Source organism: Homo sapiens, chromosome 4, assembly GCF_000001405.40.
Source record: "Homo sapiens chromosome 4, GRCh38.p14 Primary Assembly".
Lineage (NCBI taxonomy): Eukaryota > Metazoa > Chordata > Mammalia > Primates > Hominidae > Homo > Homo sapiens.
Window position 1 is genome coordinate 26,111,545 of NC_000004.12, and position 21,317 is coordinate 26,132,861.

The window sequence follows — 21,317 nt, forward strand, 5'->3', positions numbered from 1 at the left end:
GGGAAAAAAACTCTACGATATGCATGTGCATCCCTGGCTTCCCCCAACTTCCTGGCTCATCCTTCCCCAGCCTCCAGTCCCTCATGGGAAACAATCCCTGGCCTCTGGTCGCACATGACAAGGGAGTGGTGGGATCCTGAAGCCATTGAAGTGTGTGTGCAGGTGAGAGGTCTGGAACAAGTTTAAGAGAGAGAACCTAAATTGGTAGTAAATTAATAAGAAATAAATGTTTACATTCACTCATTGAAAAGGGTCATTTCTAAGCTCAACACATATCAGAGTGACACATGGAGACCTCTCTCTCCTCCACTACACAGAAAATGAACAAATCCCAAGAACAAGTGTCATTCAAGGATGTATGCATAGACTTTACCCAGCAAGAGTGGTATCTGCTGGATCCTGCTCAGAAGATGCTGTCCAGAGATGTGATTCTGGAAACTTACAGCAATCTGGTCTCAGCCAGGTGTTGCATTACTAAGCCAGACGTGATCTTCAAGATAGAGCAAGGGGCTCCGGAATATTAGAGGAAGGATTTCCAAGCCAGTACCACCCAGAAAGGAACTGGAAAGTTGATGACCTGTCAGAGAGCAGCCAGGAAAACCAAGACAAGTATTTTTGGGAGCTTGTGTTCACCAAAAACAAAACAGTAAGCATAGAAAGTGGTAATAGAGTAAGAAAAACTTCCAATTTGGGTACAAACCCTGTTTCTTCAAGAACATTTCCTAATAAAATATGTGACTTGTGTGAAATGAGTTTGAAAGATACTTTGCGTTTAATTATTGATCAAAAGAACTGTTCCAGAAAGAAGCCTGATGCATTTAATGTACGTGAGAAATTACTCCTTGGTATTAGGCTTGAGAAAATTCCTATTGGAGAGAAATTGTATAAATATGATCAAAAGAGGGATGTCATTAATCATCACCAGGCTCTCACTCAGATAATTTTTGACCAACCTTTTGAGTATAATAAAAATGGACAAGGCTTCTATGAGGAGGCAGCCTTTTTTTTTTTTTTTTTTTTTTTACAAATAAGAGTTAATCTTGGATAGCAGAGACACTTTAAATATAATGAATGTGGAAGAACTTTCACTGTTGAAAGCTCAAAGAACTCATTTGGAAAAGGAGCCATATGGAGGCAGTATTTGTGAGAAGTCCTTCTGTATTGATTTTAGATTTGGACATCAGATCAGATAATTCTTATAAGGGAGAATCTTTTTTTTTTTTTTTTTTTTTTGCAGAGAGTTTTGCTCTTGTTGCCCAGGCTGGAGTGTAGCAGTGGGATCTCGCTCACTGCAACCTCCACCTCTCAGGTTCAAGCGATTCTCTTGCCTCAGCCTCCTGAGTAGTTGAGACTACAGGTCTCACACCCGGCTAATTGTTTTGTATTTTTAGTAAATATGGGGTTTTGCCTTGTTGGCCAGGCAGGATTCAAACTCCTGGCCTCAAGTGATCCACCCACCTGGCCTCCCAAAGTGCTGGGATTACAAGTGTGAGCCACCGTGCCCAACCTATAAGGGAGAATCTTTGTGAATGCAATGAATATGGGAAATCTTCTGTGACAGTTCAACTTTCATGATCTGTCAGGGAGCTTACACAAGAAAGATTCCCCATGAATATAAATTGAGTGACAAAACTTGGGAAAACTCAACTCTCTTTAAACATCAGATAGTACACATGGGGGGAAGCCCTCTGACCACAATGAAAATGGGAATAATTTCAGCAAGAAGTTACATCTCACTCAGCTTTGGAAAGCTCACTGAGTGAGGATAAATAAACCTACGAATGTGGTGAATGTGGGAAAACCTTGTGGGAGAAGTCAAACTTCACTCAGCTTCAGAGAACACACACAGGAGAGAAACCCTATGAATGTACTGAATGGGGAAAAGCCTTTTGCCAGAAACCACACCTTACCAACCATCAGCAAACACACACAGGAGAAAAGCCCTATGACTGTAAGCAATGTGGAAAAACGTTCTGTGCGAAGTCAAAGCTCACTGAACATCAGAGAACTCACGCAGGGCAGAAGCCCTATGAATGCAAAGCACATGGGAAATCCTTCTGCCCCAGGTCAGCCTTCACTGTCCATCAGGGAACACACACACGAGAGAAATCCTTTGCATGTCATGAGTGTGGAAAATTCTTCTGTGTGAAGTCAAATCTCATTGTCCATCAAAGAACTCACATGGGAGACAAACCCTATAAATGTAGTGAATGTGGGAAAACCTTCTGTGAAAAATCAGCTCTCACCAAACATCAGAGAATTCACACAAGGCCAAAAGGTCTTTCCACATCCTGAATGTTAGAAGCCTTCATACACCTGTCAAATTTTTGTTCAACTTTTAAAAATTAGAGAAAGCAAAGAATGTCAGAAATTACTAGAAAATGACTTCTTGTTTGAATATGTGAAAGCATTCAAGAAAAATTAAACCTTTTCATTAGGAAATTTGTACTGAGGGGAATTCTAAGTAATGCAGCAAAAACCTTTATCTAAAATTTATGTTGTTTAGTGTCGTATTCCAAATGTAATACCAAAATTTTATTGTAAATATAATGGACAATATTCATTTACTCATCTTCATAGTAGAATCTGAAGCATATAAAAGTTGAATGACACAGAATTAAACATGTATGTGGGCCTGGCGTGTTGGCTCATGCCTGTAATCCCAGCACTTTGGGAGGCCGAGGCAGGTGGATCACCTGAGGTCAGGAGTTCGAGACCAGCCTGACCAACATGGCGAAACCCCGTTTCTACTAAAAGTACAAAAATTAGTCGGGCATGGTGGCGTGTGCCTATAATCCCAGCTACTCAAGAGGCTGAGGCAGGAGAAGCTTGAACCCGGGAGATGGAGCTTGCAGTGAGCCAAGATCGCACCACTGTACTCCAGCCCAGGCAACAAGAGTGAGACTCCTCTCAAAAAAAAAAAAAAGAATGTACATATATATATATATATATATGTATGTGTGTGTGTATGAAAAGTCCCTGATGTTTGTAGACCTTATGAGTATGCTAATGTAGCAAATTTTGGTATATTTCATTTCCATATTGCAACCCAACATGGTTGTCAGGAGAAAATACGTACCTTTAGTTTAGTAACTATTATGGTACGTGTTAACGTTTTCCACACAAACTACCACTGGTATCTTTATACGTTGATATAATTATATGTGTGTATGTACTTATGTATGTGTATATATATGGGTGTATATGTAAATATATTTGTACACACATACTAAAATATAGTGATGTGCTAGCGTCACCTCATATTGACTTAAAAGTGCTGCTGATTGTTAAATTTTCAGGAATTTTGTGAGGCAGTTATTAAACAGTCATTATTTAAAATACACAAACTTACTATTATATTAAAAACAAAGGTAATAAATACCCAACACTCATCACTTCTAATTAGGTTGCTACATTTCACTATGATCTTTGTTGTTTAGGTTACTTATATTATTGCCTCTGTATGGTGAAAATACTATCCACATCTACTGCTACTGCACGTCTCTTCCCGACTCCACATTCAGTACTATTTTGTTGGTAGCTTGTGGCAGTATTTACACCATCAAAATCGGCAAACTATAAATCAAGGTTTTCATTTTCTTCACAGAACCTGCTGTCAAATATTTACCAGCACATCATCATGTACATATGAAAACATATTTGATAGTACAAACCACATACCTCTTTTTATATTTCCTGACATAAACAAATGCCTATCGTCATTACCGCTGAACTGCCTCTCCAATAAAGGAGCTAAAAAATGTTTTTGTGAGGTTTTAAACTACCTCTGAGTCAGTCCTATTCTAAATACTATCACACTAGCTCTGCAGGTTGGCCAGTATAAGTTTTTTTTTTTTTGAGACGGAGTCTCGCTCTGCAGCCCAGGCTGGAGTGCAGTGGCGCGATCTCAGCTCACTGCAAGCTCCGCCTCCTGGGTTCACGCCATTCTTCTGCCTCAGCCTCCCGAGAAGCTGGGACTACAGGCGCGTGTCACCACGTCCAGCTAATTTTTTGTATTTTTAGTAGAGAAGGGATTTCACCATGTTAGCCAGGATGGTCTCGATTTCCTGACTTCATGATCCACCCGCCTCGGCCTCCCAAAGTGCTGGGATTCAGTATAAGTTTTAAGTGAGATATTATTTCACAAGGAACTGTATTACATACCTTGCCTCTGACTGTTTGCTGGCACATGTGAATGGGTATGGCTGTTATTACTAACTTAGCACTTCAGTAAAGAAGAGCGAAACAGTATTTTTCTGAGGTTTTTCAGCTACCTCTGGGTCAGTCAGTAATGTAAATGCTGTTAATAAGGATAGTATTTACATAAATTATGCAAAGGTTAACATCAGTTGAAATACAGTAGTACTCACTGCACTCTACAGATGAAAAGTGGTGGTATGTTAAAAAAAAAAACTCTACAATAGTCTTTAACTTCCTATTTAAAATAAACAGGCACCATGAATTGAATTTGTCAAAATAAAACCATACCAAAGTTAGCATTTAGTTCAAGATTCCAAGTTTGCATCATGTTCTCATTCAATAAAATTGACCATTTCTCATGTTCTCATTCAATAAAATTGACCATTCCAACATTTTCTGTTTGTGCTATCAGCACTGAAAATGCACATCCACCGTGTTGACAGCAGCTAACAGAGTGACTCATGTGGAGGCATCGCAGGCTGCATTGAGCTGACAGGTTGTCAAACCAATTAACGGGCAGGGATGATGTCAGAAGACCTTTCTATCATTGCTGCCTGCAGCTGGTCCTCATTATATGGAATGCCCGGTATGCTGTGAAAAACCAGAAAAAGAAAATCTTACCTGTTCTTAACCTGTATGGAAGCCAAATCTCTCAAGGAGTACTGGCCTGAGGGCAGCATGTTCACACACTATTTCTATCATTTTTTTCCCACCTGCTATTGCAGAAACCTTGACTTTCTCCATCTTCAAAGTCCGCCCAGCAGTTTCTGGAAGTCCCCTGGAGATATGTGGCATGGACTCATGGGACTGTCCTCTCAGCTCCCCGGGACATGCCATGTTTTTCCTCTGCAGCCCTGGATTCCTAGGAAGAACTATAGCAAAAGCTTCTTATGCCCATGAAGGTGCACCAAACAGATTGCAAAGGTCTGATCAACCCACACAAGGTGCTGTAAAGCCACTGCACAACAGACCTCCTGCCATTGTGGATGCCACTGCCACCTGTGGCTGCTGCCACCCATGCCACAAGCCCAAAGTGGCACCAAAGCTACTCCACCTTCTCTGTCACTAGGGAGAATCTTCTGCCCCTCCTGGGGTGGCAAGCTGCAATGCAGTTCCCAATGCTCATGTGCCTTGGGTCCCTGGAGTCTCTATAGATTCCAGAGAACCTGCTCTTCATTGAGATGCACGGGAACCTTTGTGTAAGCCCAGGTCTAGATTAAAGCCTCTGGTAAAAATGGCTTCGACTCTAACTGAGAAAACTGACTTTTCACAGATTCAAAGCCACAACCATTCAGAGGAAAAGTCATATAGGTTGGCCCACAAAGTTGGCCACTCAATTTATAACACTTAGTAAATGTTAACGGAGGCAGGAGAGTTGATTTTTTAAGTGAAGGGCTATCAACGTTGCTGGACAGAACATAGTGGTCTTTCAAAATGGAAAGAACTCTTAAGGAAACCCTGTCCTTGGTACTCCTGCCCCATGCGGCTACCCCCGCTCCCCACCCTCTGGGCATCTCCCATGACCACAAAACAGAGTACACAAATTCCTGCAGCCCAAGCATCCTGCCCTGGCTTTTCTGGCCCCAGATATCCCATTTTACCTCCTCCTGGGACCCCAAGTTCTAACAATCTCCCTCAATTTTATCTGAACTATCACTATACCTAACAAAACCAAGACCCTCCACATGTCATATTATACAATAGGTAATATGACGTATTACATGTTGGCCAACTTGAGAAAAGGCAATTAAATTCTATATTGCACACACATGCTGACCACCTACTAAGTGACAAGCAGAAAACAAACAGATGAGTCAGATTGACTTCATGGACTTTACTGTCTATTCTGAAAGGGCAGTGTAGCATATAGCATTCAGGGGACAAACTAGGGAGAAGCTGGGTTCCTCCACTTAATTGACTTTATAACCCTTTGACAAATGAATTAACTTCCTTGTACGTTTACTCATCCTGAAAATGGAGTTAAGGAGAGATACTAATGCTTGGTATTTCTGTGAAGAAGTAACAAGTCAATACACATAAAACACTCAGAAAGTGCCTAACACTATTAGCACTTAAAATAATTATTAGTGGAGACAGATGTGGACATAACTGCTTATGATATAATAAAATAAAATATTTGGCAGTGATTTAAAAGTACAAACAACTATACACCACAAATTATATATATATATTTGTGCATGGATATATACATATTTGTGTATATATATATATTTGTGACATTTTAGATATATTATCCATATATATCTCCATATATATCTGTGAAATATATATCACAAATATGTATATTTGTTTATAGTTGTTTGTATTTTTACTTCTACAAACTTGCTTGAGCCAAAGCTATGTCCACCACTAAGATTCAAATATATATTCACCCATATATATTTACTGACTGCCCACAAGGTTTCAGATACTGAGCTGGACCTGGAAGACAGAGGGATGCAAAGGGTTCATAGAGATTCAGTCCTGCTCTGGAAACCCTGGCTGTAGTCAGAGGCTTGGTCTGGAGAATTAGAGACACGGATCTGCCAGGTGTTTATTTGTGTGAAGAACTAAAGAATCTCTTTGGTTAAAAGAAAAGTTCATCCTACAGCATTAATCATTCACCAGGTGAGGTATGGGTTATCAGTCCATCCGTGGTTTGGTTATTCTCCAGCCAACTGTGGCCAAACAGGTGGGATCATGTGGTACAAAACAGGTGCTACCTCCTCTCCAGGACTGTAGGCAGGGAAGGTAGGTAGACTGGGCCCATTGTTTAATACCAGCAGGCAGGTATGAAAGATCACTCGGGCTTGCAGGGCAATGTGGCAGAGGTCCTGGGGAACAGAGTGGTCATTCACGTCAGTCTGAATACAAGAGAATGGATGGAGTAATTGATTGGTCATTTTTGTAACACTATGTCTTCTGACCTCTTTATGTCCTTTAATTTCTACTGTTGCTTAGTTTCATTCATATGTTACACCTTGAGGGAAGGTCAAAATAAGCTCACAATTTTTCTCATCTCACAAAATATCCTTCTAAACTTCCAACTCCCAAGAAAAAGGTATTCTTTTGACTTCCCCATTTCTGTCCACATAACTATTTGCACTCTCCATCACACACTCTTGAAAACTTGAGGCTTTCTTTGACACCACTCTTTTTCTTTCCCCTTCTATTAGGTCAATGGCTAGTCCTTTTGGGATGTGGTCCAGAGTAGTCAAAGGGGCTTGGCTTTTGGAGTCCTCCATAGCTGGGTACAAAGTCCAGCTCTACCATTCACAAAACATGTGATCTTTAACAGGGTATTGCATTGATCCGGGTCTCAGTTTCACAATCAGTAAAATAAGACTAATCTTACCTACCTTATAATATCACTGTGGGTTAAATAAATAAAATACTGTAAGGAAAGCCCCTAGCACAAGGCTGCATATAGTGAAATCTCAGGAACCATAAGCTTTTATTTTCTACTTCTGACAGGTATTTCACATCCATTGTCTCATTTCTCTGACACAGCCTAGAGTGACAATAAAAACCTCTGTCTTCCATTGTTTTCCTCCCCAATCCATTATATGCCCAGCTGTCAGAAGGCTCTTCCTAGGAACAGTTCCAATCCCTTCATTGAGTAGATTGGAAATCTTTAATGACTCTTCCAATGCCAACCCAATAAAGAAAGTATGGACCCTTTAGCTTGGCATTTCATTTTTCAGATTAGCTCCCCCTCCTCCCTTTCTGTGAAAGTCTCTGACCTTCTCTAACTGGATGTGTCACCAATTCCCCCAAAACTGTCCATGTCTGTGCTTTTCTTTACACGGTTCTCTCCACCTAGAAGGCACTAGCCCCCTCCTTCCTTTCTATCCACATTCTACCCATCCTTCCGTGTTCAATTTTATTTTGGTTCACCCATGATGTTTTTCCAAATCACCAGCTGAAATCAACTTTCTTTCTGAATTTCCACAGGACATTTTAGCACCTCTCATAGGGTATAGGTCACCTTCTATATTACAGTGGCATTATCAGTGTAACGGCCTCAATTCTTTCATGATACAAAGCAGAACATAAATATATTCAAGTCCTAGATGTGGCCTGAGGCCTTAAAATGGCTGAGAGTTACAAGAACCCTTTCCTTCATAGCTTATAGATAAAATACCATGTTTGGGATCATAAGACCCCACCATTGTGGCTACAAATGATTGAATAGGGCTTTGTACCTGAGGCAAAGACATCCACTTTATAGGTAGGTTCTCTTTCTAGAAAAGTCTGAATTTGAGCCATATCAAAAGAGAGTAGTTGGAAGAACTAGAATTTGAAAGATGCTAAGAAGCCACATGAGACACCAGTAAATGGACACCTTGAGGCAGAAGCTGGAAGTGAGCAAGACCAAGAGGTCGAGCAGAAAGTAGAGAGAGTGGAAAGTCAGCAGTAGTAGTAGACATAGACTCCGTCTCTCAAAAGCAACAACAAAAGCAAAGGCACCAGAAAATCAATAATAAAACTTGTTGCTGAGACCTGGAATCATGTAATGCCCTGAACAAACTTCCAGATCTCCGCTGGGCAGGCTTTTCAACTGATGTTGACTTTCTGTGCTTTTTAAATAGCTAAGTACCACTACAGTAAACACCCATCACCTTGGACAAGCAAGTCTTTGTTCTGAACAGTCTAGAAGAGCCTTCTATAGAACACCCATACCTGAAATCGTTCTCTCGGTACCTCTATTTTTTTCTTGAGAGACAAATTTAGTCCTCTCTGTCTTGGCCCATAGCCTGTTAGTGAAATGCATACATTCTCATGGCCTTTCATACTATCCAAACAGCAAATATCCTGGTAAATTTCTGAGACCTGTTTGCCTTCATCCTAACCTTGGCACCATATTGCTCAATACCATATTGTTTCAAAGTTCTGGCTCATCTCATGTTTCCTAATAGCCATATGTCAGCTTCATAACCTAATAGGTTACTCAAGACCATTTTCTCAACTTTTTTTTTTTTTTTTTTTTTTTTGCACACTGGAAAATAAGCAATATCCCAGCTTTATAGATGAGACCATTGAGGCGTGGACAGAATGAAGCCTGGCAAGAGTACTGTAGTTTAGAAGCAAAAGTGTAAATTAGAATTCCTGAGATGCCCCAGCTATTCTTATCTAGCCCTATGTGATTAAACCAAGATAAATGGACATACATTTTTCAAAATAAGGAAGGAAGGAAGGAGAGAGAGATGAAGGGGGGAAAGGAGAGGGAGAGGCAGAGGGAGAGGAAGAGAAGAGGAAGAGGGAGAGGGAGGGGTAGGGGGAGAAGCAGAGGGAGAGGGAAAAACTATCTACCATTCTCAAAAGTGGGCAGTAACTGAAGCAGCAATTTAGCAAAATGATTGACTTCCTCCAAGGAGTCCTTTCAAAATTTTCAGAAAATGATAGATTCCAAGCACTCACCTGATGCATCAAGCTCCCTGGGCAGAAGCAAATATTTAATCTCATAATGGAAAGAATCTGAAGCCAGTGGGCTGCCCTGCTTTTTCACCTCTGAATCTTACTTTGTCAACAAAAATTATCTCTATTCAAGTGCTCCTGCGTGGGTTTCTCAATAACTTGAGAACCAAATAGGCAGAGACAAGTTTGTGCCCAAATAATTAAAACCCTAGAATGGAAGCATCTGGCAGAAAAGATTTAATCTTCAGAAAAAATCATGAGATCAGTCTTATCCCCATTTTAGAGAAGAGTAAACCAAGTCTCAAAGAGACTAAATAAGTTGTTCATGACCCCCTAAGAAGGAGAAGATCAGAGCCTCAAGTCTCCATCATCTAACTCCTATTTCCACCCTTTGTCCACTGCTTCCTGACACTGCCTCTTTATAGCCTGCTTTTTGGAGGAAACTAGTTGTTACCTACACTTCAGTTTTCAACCAGACGTAATTACTCTGTAAATCATAGTCTTAACCAAAATGGAAAAAAAACAATTATCCTGAGTTCACATAGGTATTGTGATGTGTTGAGCTTGACACAGTAATTTAACAATAATCAAGTAGCATCCAATCAGAAAATGGAACTGCACATTAATCTTCAAATAAATGTTACGTCACACACCCAGAAGCAATTAAGATTACACACAAGAACCTCAAGTTGCTTGGAGTGAGTATCTCTCTTTTTTTTTTTTTTTTTTTTTTGTATTTATCTCCTGTGTCCTCTTTTTTCTTTTTAGGTAGTAAAGCCACTTTTTCATGGGAGAAACACATTCCATTGTTGACCTTGAACTTCTTCACCTAGCCATTCAAATGATTACATTCTCCTATGCACATGATCGGTTCAGGCATAAACTTTGACCCAAGCAAGGCTAATCAGAATCATCTCTGAAATTTTATATATGGACACATTTATAAATTATTAGCCAAAGGATGCAAGCTCTGGCCTTCCAGCAGCCATATTTTTAGGGCACATAAACCCCAATGAGGATAAAACAGATTATTAGAGATAAGCAAAGTGAAGTGATCAAGAGAAAAACAGAGTCCTGATTTGCACCCTAGATCAAGCCATATCTGATGTGAGTCCTGTCTTTGGACTGTCCAATAATAACAGCAAATATTATTCCCATTAAGTTGATTTGGGTTACAAGGAACCAAAAGCATCCTACCACAAACAATACCAAATTCCAGTATTTCTGCACAAACTGGTGAGTGGTTCATATGTTTCTGGCAGGCCAGAGAGCGACAATTAGAATGTGGGTATTGTAGGTTCAAATAGGGCAGACTCTGGAGTAAACTCACCCATTCGAGGCAGAGATATTTGGAGGAAGATATAGTGATCAAAGTAATGAGAACTGGTTAGGAGGAACGCTTAAACATTTTAAATTAACATTTCTTGGAATTTTTTGGAGATGATTAATGTAAAACACATTTATTGGAATAAAGTTGGAAAATATAGAGAAACATAAGGAAGGAGTAACATATCCTGAAGTAAACACCACTAATATTTTGATATACATATGAATGAGTAGGATCTAGTAGGAACTGGCAAACTTTGGCTGCAAAGATCCAGAGAGGGAACATTGTAGACTCTGTGAACCATATGGTCTCTAATGCAACCTACCATTGCAGGGAGAACACAGCCATAAATAATACAAAAAGGAATGGGTGTGATTGTGTTCCAATAAAACTTTATTTACAAAAGCAGATGGTGGGCCAGATTTGGCCATAGTCGGCCGACCCTCCTCATTAGAATTAGCTGCTCTAACAGAAACTCAAAATGGCAGCAACATAAACAAACAAGAAGCACACTCCCCTCTCAGGAACAGATTGGGCATAAATACAGTTATGCATTGCTTAGTAACGGGTTTATGTTCTGAGAAATGTGTCATTAGGGGAGTTTGTTATTGTGAGAACATCATAGAGTGTACTTATATACTAGTGTACAAACCTAGATGGTGTAGCCTACTGCACACCTAGGCTATATGGTGTGGCCTATTGCTCCCAGAATACAAACCTGGACAGCATGTGACTGTACTTAATACTACAGGCAACCAGAGCACAATGGGAAGCATTTGTGTATCTAAGCATACCAAAACATAGAAAGGTACAGCAAAAATATGGTATAAAATATTTTTTAAAAATAGTACATCTGTATAGAACACTTACTATAAATGGAGCTTGCAGGACCGCAAGTTGTTCTGGGTGAGTCTGAATAGGTGGTGAGTGGATGCGAAGGCCTAGGACATTACCATCTATACTATATGCTGTAGACTTTATAAACACTGTACACTTAGGCTACACTAAATTTATAAAGAATTTTTTTTCTTTCTTCAACAATATATTAACCTTAGCTTACTATATATAATTTTTTACTTTATAAACTTTTTAATGTTTAAAAAACTTTTTGACTCATAATAACACAGCTTAAAATACACATCGTACAGCTATACAAAAATATTTTCTTTCTTTATACCCTTATTCTATAAGCTATTTTCTATTTTTAACATTTTTATTTCTTTCTTTAAACTGTTAAACTTTGTTGTTAAAAACGAAGACACAAACACACACATTAGCCTGTGCCTCCACAGGGTCAGGGTCATCAATATCACTATCTTCACCCTCCACATCTTGTTCCACTGGAAGGTCTTCAGGGGCATGGAGCTGTCATCTCCTAGGATAACAGTAGTCTTCTGTACTTCCAGAAGTACCTTCCTGAGGCTGTTTTACAGTTAACTTTTTTTTAAATAAGTAGAAGGAATACATTCTAAAATAACAATAAAAAGTATAGTAAATACATGAACCAGTAACATAGTCATTTATTATTATCATGTTTTATGTACTGTACATAATTGTATGTGCTAGATTTTTTATTTCCATAGGTTATTGGGGAACAGGTGATGTTTGGTTATAGGAATATGTTCCTTGGTGGCGATTTGTGAGATTATGGGACACCCATCAGCCGAGCAGTATACCCTGCACACTATTTGTAGTCTTTTATACCTCACCCCTTTCCCACCCTGTCCCCCTGAGTCCCCAAAGTCCATTGTGTCATTCTTATGCCTTTGCATCCTCATAGCTTAGCTCCCACTTATGAGTGAGAACATGCAATGCTTGGTTTTCCATTCCTGAGTTACTTCACTTAGAATAATAATCTCCAGTCTCATCCAGGTCGCTGTGAATGCCATTAACTCATTCCTTTTTATGGCTGAGTAGTATTCCATCATATATATATATATATATATATATATATATATATATATATATATATACCAGTTTCTTTATCCACTCGTTGATTAATGGGCAGTTGGGTTGGTTCCATGTTTTTTCAATTGTGAATTGTGCTGCTATAAACATGAGTGTGCAAGCATCTTTTTCATATAATGACTTCTTTCCCTCTGGGTAGATACCCAGTAGTGAAATTGCTGGATCAAATGGCAGTTCTACTTCTAGTTCTTTAAGGAATCTCCACACTTTTTTCCATAGTGATTATACTAGTTTACAGTCCCACAAGTGGTGTAGAAGTGTTCCGTTTACCGCATCTGTATGTGTTATATTTTTATATGCCTGGCAGCATAATAGGTCTGTTTACATCAGCATTACCACAAACACGTGAGTAATGCATCGTGCTATGATGTTGATTTTTCAGCTTCACATAATCTTATGGGACCACGTCCCATATGCAGTTCATCATTGACCGAATGTCCTTATGTGGCACACGACTGTAGTTCAGGACTGCTATGGCAACAGCAATGTGTCAGAGGCCCGGACACTTTCTATCCTATTCTGCCACCCCTAAGATGTTGTCTTCGGGCACATGGTCTGAGATGACTGACTACCATGTCCACAATCCAGCCAGTAGGAAGGGAAAAAGGGGGAAGGGAAAAGGGGAGAGGAAAGACACATCTCTTCCCTTTAAGGACACCAGTCAGGAATTGCAGTCATCCCTCTTGCTCACATCCTATTGGCCAGAACTTAGTCATCTGGCCACACCTAGCTGCAAGGGTGGCTGGGAAATGTAGGCTATATTCTGAGCAACATGTGGGTAGCTGCTGAAGGCTATGGAGCCCCTCATGGGGCACCCTGTGATGTAGGCAGTGAAGTCCCCTCTCCACCACACATACTTTTATAGGAAGTGGATGGAGCCAGCCTGGGAGTGCAAAGGTTGATTTTTCTACACTACTGACTGAGGAATGTTTTTATGTATCCTGTAATCTCTGAGTAAAAGGCTGTTTAACCTTTCTTGGAAGGCAGGTTTCACATGTAATTCCTTTGGAGAAAGCAGCCAAAAAGATATCTGGAACAGGGAGAAAAATGGCCCTCTTGGGTCAGGTGCAATGGCTCACACCTGTAATCCCAGCACTTTGGGAGGCCAAGGGGAGTGGATCACTTGAGGTCAGGAGTTCAAGATTAGCCTGGCCAACATGGTGAAACCCCATCTCTACCAAAAATACAAAAATTAGCTGAGTGTGGTGGTGCATGCCTGTAATCCCAGCTACTCAGGAGGCTGAGGCAGGAGAATCGCTTAGACCTGGGAGGTGGAGGTTGCAGTGAGCCAAGATGGCACCAGTGCACTCCAGCCTGGGCAATAGAGCAAGACTCCATTTCAAAAAAAAAAAAAAATCGTCCCTCTTCTTTAGTTACCAGCAGGCACCCTCATGGCGGATTATAGGATGCCTGAGGATTCCACCCATAAGAACAATGCAGCTGGAGAGGCAGCATAACAGCTCCTCCACATGCTCTCTCCAGGTGTGCGGATGGGGATACACCTCTCCTCTATGGTGTCTGTCACACACAATGTGTATGGATATAGATGTATCACTGCCTGTGTGCTCCAACCTTACATCTAGATTTTAAAGCCCTTAAGAATTGCTTTAAAAAAAAAATCCATCTTTGCATTCCTGAAGGAGCAAACACCAGCCTTTCCAGATGTATTCAATTCCTTGAATGGAAAAGATCAAGCACTTTAAAAAGTCTGCACTTTTTAAAGAAACACCTATTTAGTGCCAGGCACTAGGGATTTGGGATACAAAGATGAAAATTGGTAGTCCCTGCCTCTTATGGAGGCTTTTAGCCTAGGAAGGAGACAGACACTGCTGAAGACATCTGTTGTTTTTTGGCTTCCCGCCCCCAACCCCAACTTCCTCCTAGCCCATCACTCCCCTTTTCGGGGAATCCCCCATTGTGTATTTTGAGGTGGGTAGCCTGTCTCCCACTACAGTAGCCAAAAGAGACAGATACTCCTCTCTCTTTCCCTTTTCCATTTCTGGTACGGCACAGGTGGGCATATGACTAGGCTTAGCCAATCAGATGCTTTCCTGGGACGTGGACTCTTGAAAGTGCTGTAAGAAACTTGGCTCTAGCTGTAGGTTATAGTCATTATGATACTGGTGGCAGGTCAAACTAATGCCCTGCTCATTTTCCAAACTTGTTCTGCAGCCTTTCTTTGATTTTGAGAACCTCTAATATCATCCCAATATATTCATTTATTTCCCTCAAGGCGGCCAGCATTGGTTCTGTGGGTTGTGGTCAACAACCAAATTCCCTCCTAATGCAAAAATGATCATCTACTTAGGTGCTTTTGAATGCAAAGGTAAGAAGTCTACTCCAGTTACATCAAATAAGTTGAGTTTATTGTAGGAACACAGAGAACCATATGGACAGTGGAAAAGCCTAAGAATTTAAGGCCAGCTGCCATTACAGGAGAGTCTTCATGAACTTCATGGACTGAGCTTAAAAGGTCATTACGCCTTAAAGGACAACTCTATCCCAGTCACACAGGGATGTGTGGTGCCCCTAGTCTTGATGAAGGATTCAGCCGACCACACACGTCACTCTGAAGCTGAGATAGCACTGAGAATTTCAGCCAGTCATTGGATATGGGCTTCCCTGGGAAGGGTGCATGATCTTGGGTGGGGTGACTTTCTTTAAAAGAGATGCTTCCTGAAGACAGCTGGCAACTGAGGGCTGTCTGTTGGCAGCACTCCCAGTGGCACAGAGAAGAAATCTATCATTCCTGAAGAGGAATCCGGGCAGCACATCACAGCATCTGCTACATCAGATCTTTCTGTATTTCATGACCTTTCAGCTTCCGTTGCTGCTGCTCATTGCTAAAGTCTTTCCCAATTCAAATCACTGACAGTGAGAATCTGATCTGACCTAGTCCACATCAAAGGTCACCAACCATATGGAGATTGGCTCTCCTTGGCTATGGTTGGGTAGCAGGATCATGTGGTAGAAATGCACTCTCTCCCAGCCTCACCAGTTTGACAGGGTCTGTGGGCAGAGCTGGAGGAAAATCTTTTGGTAGGCATCAGGCATGATGGCATGTCTTGCCCATATACCAATAAACAATTGTAATGTGGTACAGAGGATGGAGTATATAAGTATGTAAGATGGAGTATATCAGCATAAAGTGGGTGGAGTAAATATATAAGTACAGTTTGTATAGGGAACAAAACACCTAAATCTACCTATTAGATCCCAGGAAGGTTCCCCATAGACTTGAACTAGGACTTGAAAGATGAGCTAGGAATAGGGTTTTGCCCAGCAGGTAAGTAGAGTAAGACACTCCAAGTAGAGGGAAACATATGTACACAGAGACATGAGATAAATCATTGTGGCCCTAAAGAGGTTGGCCTCCCAGCCACCCCATGTACTCACTGCCTCTTAACCAGATGCCTGAGAGGCATTTTTGGCAGCTGCTCAGAGGGAAACATGCCACCCATTGATTCATCTGGGGCACTCCCTGCTCCCACCTTTCATGAGCTGGTGTCAGTGGGTTCTCTGGGCCAAGTTATGCCCCACCCTGATCCTGTTTGACTTGTGTGCTCTGCCAGGATCCCTGCAAGAGATGGCATGGCCTGGGGCCCCTGCTGCCTTTCAGATAACAGCAGCAGCCAGGCCAAGGCAAATACTAGTCCCTCCTCATATAGGTGAGGCTCCCACTGATGTCAGCTGGGCCTTGGGAAGGCAGGAAGCAGGTGGGTTTAGTTGCCAACTTGGCTCTGGAAGGCAGCTCTGTTGTTCCTATTTCTTCATACTAAAAATGGAAGGATTCCCAGAAGAGGTGTGGAGGTTCTACCTATGGCCTCCAGGGGCACTGAAAGTTTGCTGACTTTTAAAGCACACACAAATGTGACAATGAATAACACCTACAACAAAGAAAAAGACATCACCATCAGCAAGTTTGCAAGATAATAATAATGGCAAACATTTATTGAGCACTTTCTATGTGCCAAGCAGTAGTTTACAGGAATTAAATTATATAGCCATCACAAAAACCCTGCAAGATAGACCCTCTGATTATCCCTATTTGACACATTAAGAAATAGAGGAACAGAAGAAATGAAGTAGCTATGCCCCAAATCCCACACTTTGTAAATGGATTTGAGCTCAATCCCCTCCTTCTCAATCACTATACAGTATGATATACAATATACACTATTCCAAATTAGCCTATATTCTGATGACTAAACGGGCATCTTATGAGATGATGTCTGATATGGTTTGGCTGTGTCCCCACCCAAATCTCATCTTGAATTGTAGCTCCCACAATTCCTACATGTTGTGAAAGGGATCTGGTGAGAGATAATAGAATCATGGGGGTGGTTTCCCCCATATTGTTCTTATGGTAGTGAATAAGTTTCACAAGATCTGATGGTTTTATAAGAGGTTCTCCCTTTTGCTTGGCTCTCATTTTCTCTCTTGTCTGCCGCCATGTAAGATGTGCCTTTCACCTTCTGCCATGATTGTAAGGCCTCCCCAGCTACGTGGAACTATGAGTCCATTAAACTTCTTTTTCATTGTAAATTACCCAGTCGTGGGTATGTCTTTATCAGCAGATGAAAGTAGACTAATACAATGTCTGAAAATGCTCAACAATTTATTAATACAAATTCTTTCACTTACATTGTCTCACTTCATCTTCATATTAGTTCAATGAGGGAGTCAAGGCAAATGATGTCATTCCCATTTTACAGATAAGAAAATGGAGGCTCAGAGAAGTAAATTAATAATCAGTAAGTGGCCAGCTTAGCACCTCAAATAGGTGTTCTGTTTCCCAGCCCAGTGATTTTTCCATCCTACCCTGCCGTGAATCATTTCAAAGGAGCCTAAGAGTATCTGTATCCAAAAATATGTCCTTAAATATGTGGACCCTAAAAGTACTTCAAAGTGACTACACATTGGTGTTGTACATCTATTTCATATAGTGGATATTTTCTAAAGCATGAACATTAAGTAAAATTGGAGTAAAGTTGAGTGGAAAGAGCTCTGAGCTGCAAGTCAAGAGTCCTGGGTTCTCATCTTTGCTCCATCCTGCATGCCAAATAACCTTAACTAATAACTTACTTTGGGGGACCTCATTTTTCTCATCTGAAAAACCAATGAGTTTTTATGAACTTACTGTCCCTTACAACTCTTAAATTATAGATATGATGATGCTATTGTAAGACGGGGTTACCTATCAATCTCCAAATCCACCTAGTTTACAGTTGAAGACTTTCAGCAACCAGCATCTGTATAATGGCAACCCGGCCTGTTCATTCCTGGGTGTTCCCTATCTAGCCTCCAGACAGCAGACTCAAGATGGTCTATCTAGGATGGAGGTGGACATCACCTGAATTTTTTTTTTATTTCTTTAATATTGATGGCAGAGAGATTAATTTATTTTTATTTTTATTTTTTTGAGATGGAGTCTCTCTCTGTCTCCCAGGCTGGGGTGCAGCAGCGCCATCTCAGCTCACTGCAACCTCTGCCTCCCAGGTCCAAGCGATTCTCCTGCCTCAGCCTTCTTAGTAGCTGGGAGTACAGGCGTGCACCACCACGCCCAGCTAATTTTTGTGTTTTTAGTAGAGACAGGGTTTCACCATGTTGGCCAGGCTGGTCTCAAACTCCTTTCCTTAAGTGATCCTCCTGCCTCGGCCTCCAAAGTGCTGGGATTACAGGCATGAGCCACCATGCCCAGCCTCAGAGGGATTATTTTTAAAGAATCAAAGCAAATCAAGAGGTGGTACCTACCTAAATACATACACCCGCACCTTCTTGAACAGGCAAGTTAGGCCAGCACATAGTTCACCTCGATAGATACAACACAGGAGTTGAGTGCTCACTGCCCATCCTCCTCCCCAAGGAGTGGTTACATCTTCTCACTATGAGTAATTAAGGACAGGCCTCAGTTTTGGTCCATTTTTGAATCATTCTCTTACTTGAACTCCAAATTTGTCTGCTTGGGTTTGTCAGCTTCTGTGGGCAGGGACGTCTTGAGAAGCATGCCGGCTGCAGCCGCTCCTCAGGTCTCCCCTGCCTGGTCTCAGTCCTTATTTTTTCAAGCTTCACGTCCTCTACTGAAGCTGCAGCAACCGAGTCCTGCCACTTTTCCTGTTCTCTTTCTCACTCATTTTCTCTCTGTATTTCCACATTCACGACTCCCATTACTCTCCCCGTAACACCACAGTGTTTCCTAAACTTCAATGATCTACTCCTTTTTCTATGAGAAGAAAAAAATTCTGTGCACTCCTTTACCACCGTCACTCTGTGAGAGTTGATGTGAATTATGTTTCTTTTTATCTCATCACCTGAAAATGTACAAATATAAACCAGGTTTTTAAAAATCCTTAGGTTTACAGCTCTCACATGATTTTTAAAAATGAATCTTACAAATAGAGTACAAGCAACACTACAAAATCCTCATTAATTTAATGTGTTAATTTAATGTGGCAGATGATGCTGTTTGAAACTGCTAAAATTACATTTCGGCGTGGAATGTGACTGTGGCATGGGCCACGATGGCTTGGGATCTTCTAAGCTTAGCATGCCTGTGCCATCATGTACCACGTGAGGATTGATTCTCCCATCTTTTTCTGCCATCCAAGCTACGGTCTAGTCTTCATTTGTGCAACATGCCAACTGGCCTCAGCTTATCAGAAACGCATCATTTACATATCGAGGCTCCCTGCGTTCTTTTCTCATTAGCCTGTGATAATTTAGGTTGAGTGCCATTGTGATAAAAACACAGCACAGGCGGCGGAAGCTGTGGCACTAGTAGGTTACTAGGTTACAAGGTGGTTGCCATGTTTTTCAAACTGGGTCACATCCCTATGCAGTCACATCCCTGCATCATGAGATCAATTTAGTAAGCTGTTACAAGCAATTTTTTAAAAAATGTTACAGAAAAGAGAAAATATCAAGTATTACGTGGTGTCAGAATAAGTATTCAGAAAATTGTTTTACACACACACACACAGACACACACACTCACATAACCAATCCAAACAGATGCCAGTATTGCTTCTGGGGAAGGTCCGTGGAAGCCCACTGAAATAGGCTAAATAGTGACCCCAAAAGATATCAGGTCCTAATCCCTGGAACCTGCAAATGTTGCTTTATAAGCAAAAAGTGTCTTTGCAGATATGATTAAAGTAAGGACAATGAGATGGATAGATTTTCCTGGATTATCCATGTGGGCCCTAAATGTAATCACAGGTATCCTTATAAGAGAAAGACAGAGGGAGATTTGATCAAGACAGAATGGTGGCCCTGTTGACTCCTTGGTTTTGACCCAGTGAAACTGACTTCAGACTTGCGGCTTCCCAAGCTGGGAGAGAATGAATTCTGTTTTTGAAACCACCCCATTTGTGGTTGTTTGTTACAGCAGCCACAGGAAACCAATAGATCCCACCTCTCCCCTCACCACCACTGGTGGGTGCTTTCGGGGGTAGTTGAAGGCAATCCCCGAGGAAGTACCAAGACTATTAGCGGGGTAGGGTGGTGACACGTAGGCTCAGAGCCATTTCTCAAGTGGTTTGGAGTATTATAGTATTTTCACAACTGGTACACCTGGACTGGTCTAGACTGGCTGTCTGTCAGTTCTATTTGTGCATGGACATCAGTGACGGAAACTGGGCCACTGTGTAAGATGGATTCCTTCTGTGGGTGGCTGCCAAAAAAAAAAAGTTTGAAGGTCTCTAATTCATATGACCCAGTCTATGCTTAGACTGACTAACTATTTTTTTAGGTCACCATCCATATGAAAACACAAAATTTAAATATTCTCACAGAGACTCTGTGGACTCCAAGATTCACCTGCAGGCACTCAAGGACCCTTGGGCCCCACTTTAAGAAACTCAGTAAGAACCCTCTTCCCCCAGCATCAGACAATTATTGTATCTCTTGGACCTTGAGCCTAATTAGGGTGGGCTCAGCCACCCCCAGGTGTGCCCACCTGAGCTCCCTTCCAGAGCTGCTCATGGCACCTGCTCCTCCCAGAGCTGCTCATGGCACCTGCTCCTTCCAGAGCTGTCTGCCCAGGAGTGTGGGTTTGAGGCTTCTGGGAGGCCCCACCCTTGGCTGTGGAAGCTGGGAGCCACTGGGACCACCTGCCCTCCCGCTGCACTGTACCTCTCTCTCTGCCCCAGGACTCATATACCCTTTTCTTCCAGGAAACCCCTGGGTCTTCGCTGGCCATAGCCTCAGAGGACTGACTTAGCCCTACAGTCTAAAAGTAAAGATTTGGAGCAAAAACTGCTTCAAAAACAAAACAAAACAAAACCACTGTCACTGGGGTGTAACCAACTTCTTTCTCTGGGGCCTCTTTTCTGTTACTCTTTACTTCTCAACCCCCCCACCCCACATCCCAGCCCTGATGCAAGAGGGGGCAGGGTCCTTACCT

At 41.5% G+C, this 21,317-nt stretch overlaps 1 protein-coding gene and 1 pseudogene across 1 annotated transcript in view, besides 1 other annotated feature; both read left to right on the top strand.

The window, feature by feature from the left end:
* RBPJ (recombination signal binding protein for immunoglobulin kappa J region) overlaps positions 1-21,317 on the top strand; it is a 329,683-nt gene that overhangs the window by 6,096 nt on the left and 302,270 nt on the right. The gene's annotated exons all lie outside the window — the stretch shown is intronic.
* Positions 134-4,408, top strand: LOC645481 (zinc finger protein 248 pseudogene; annotated as a pseudogene).
* Positions 18,762-18,951: an enhancer, noted in NCBI's record as "active region_21388". NCBI's record gives its function as "activates an Ori minimal core promoter by ATAC-STARR-seq in GM12878 lymphoblastoid cells {active_cell/tissue: GM12878}" and the evidence as "EXISTENCE:reporter gene assay evidence [ECO:0000049][PMID:35858748]".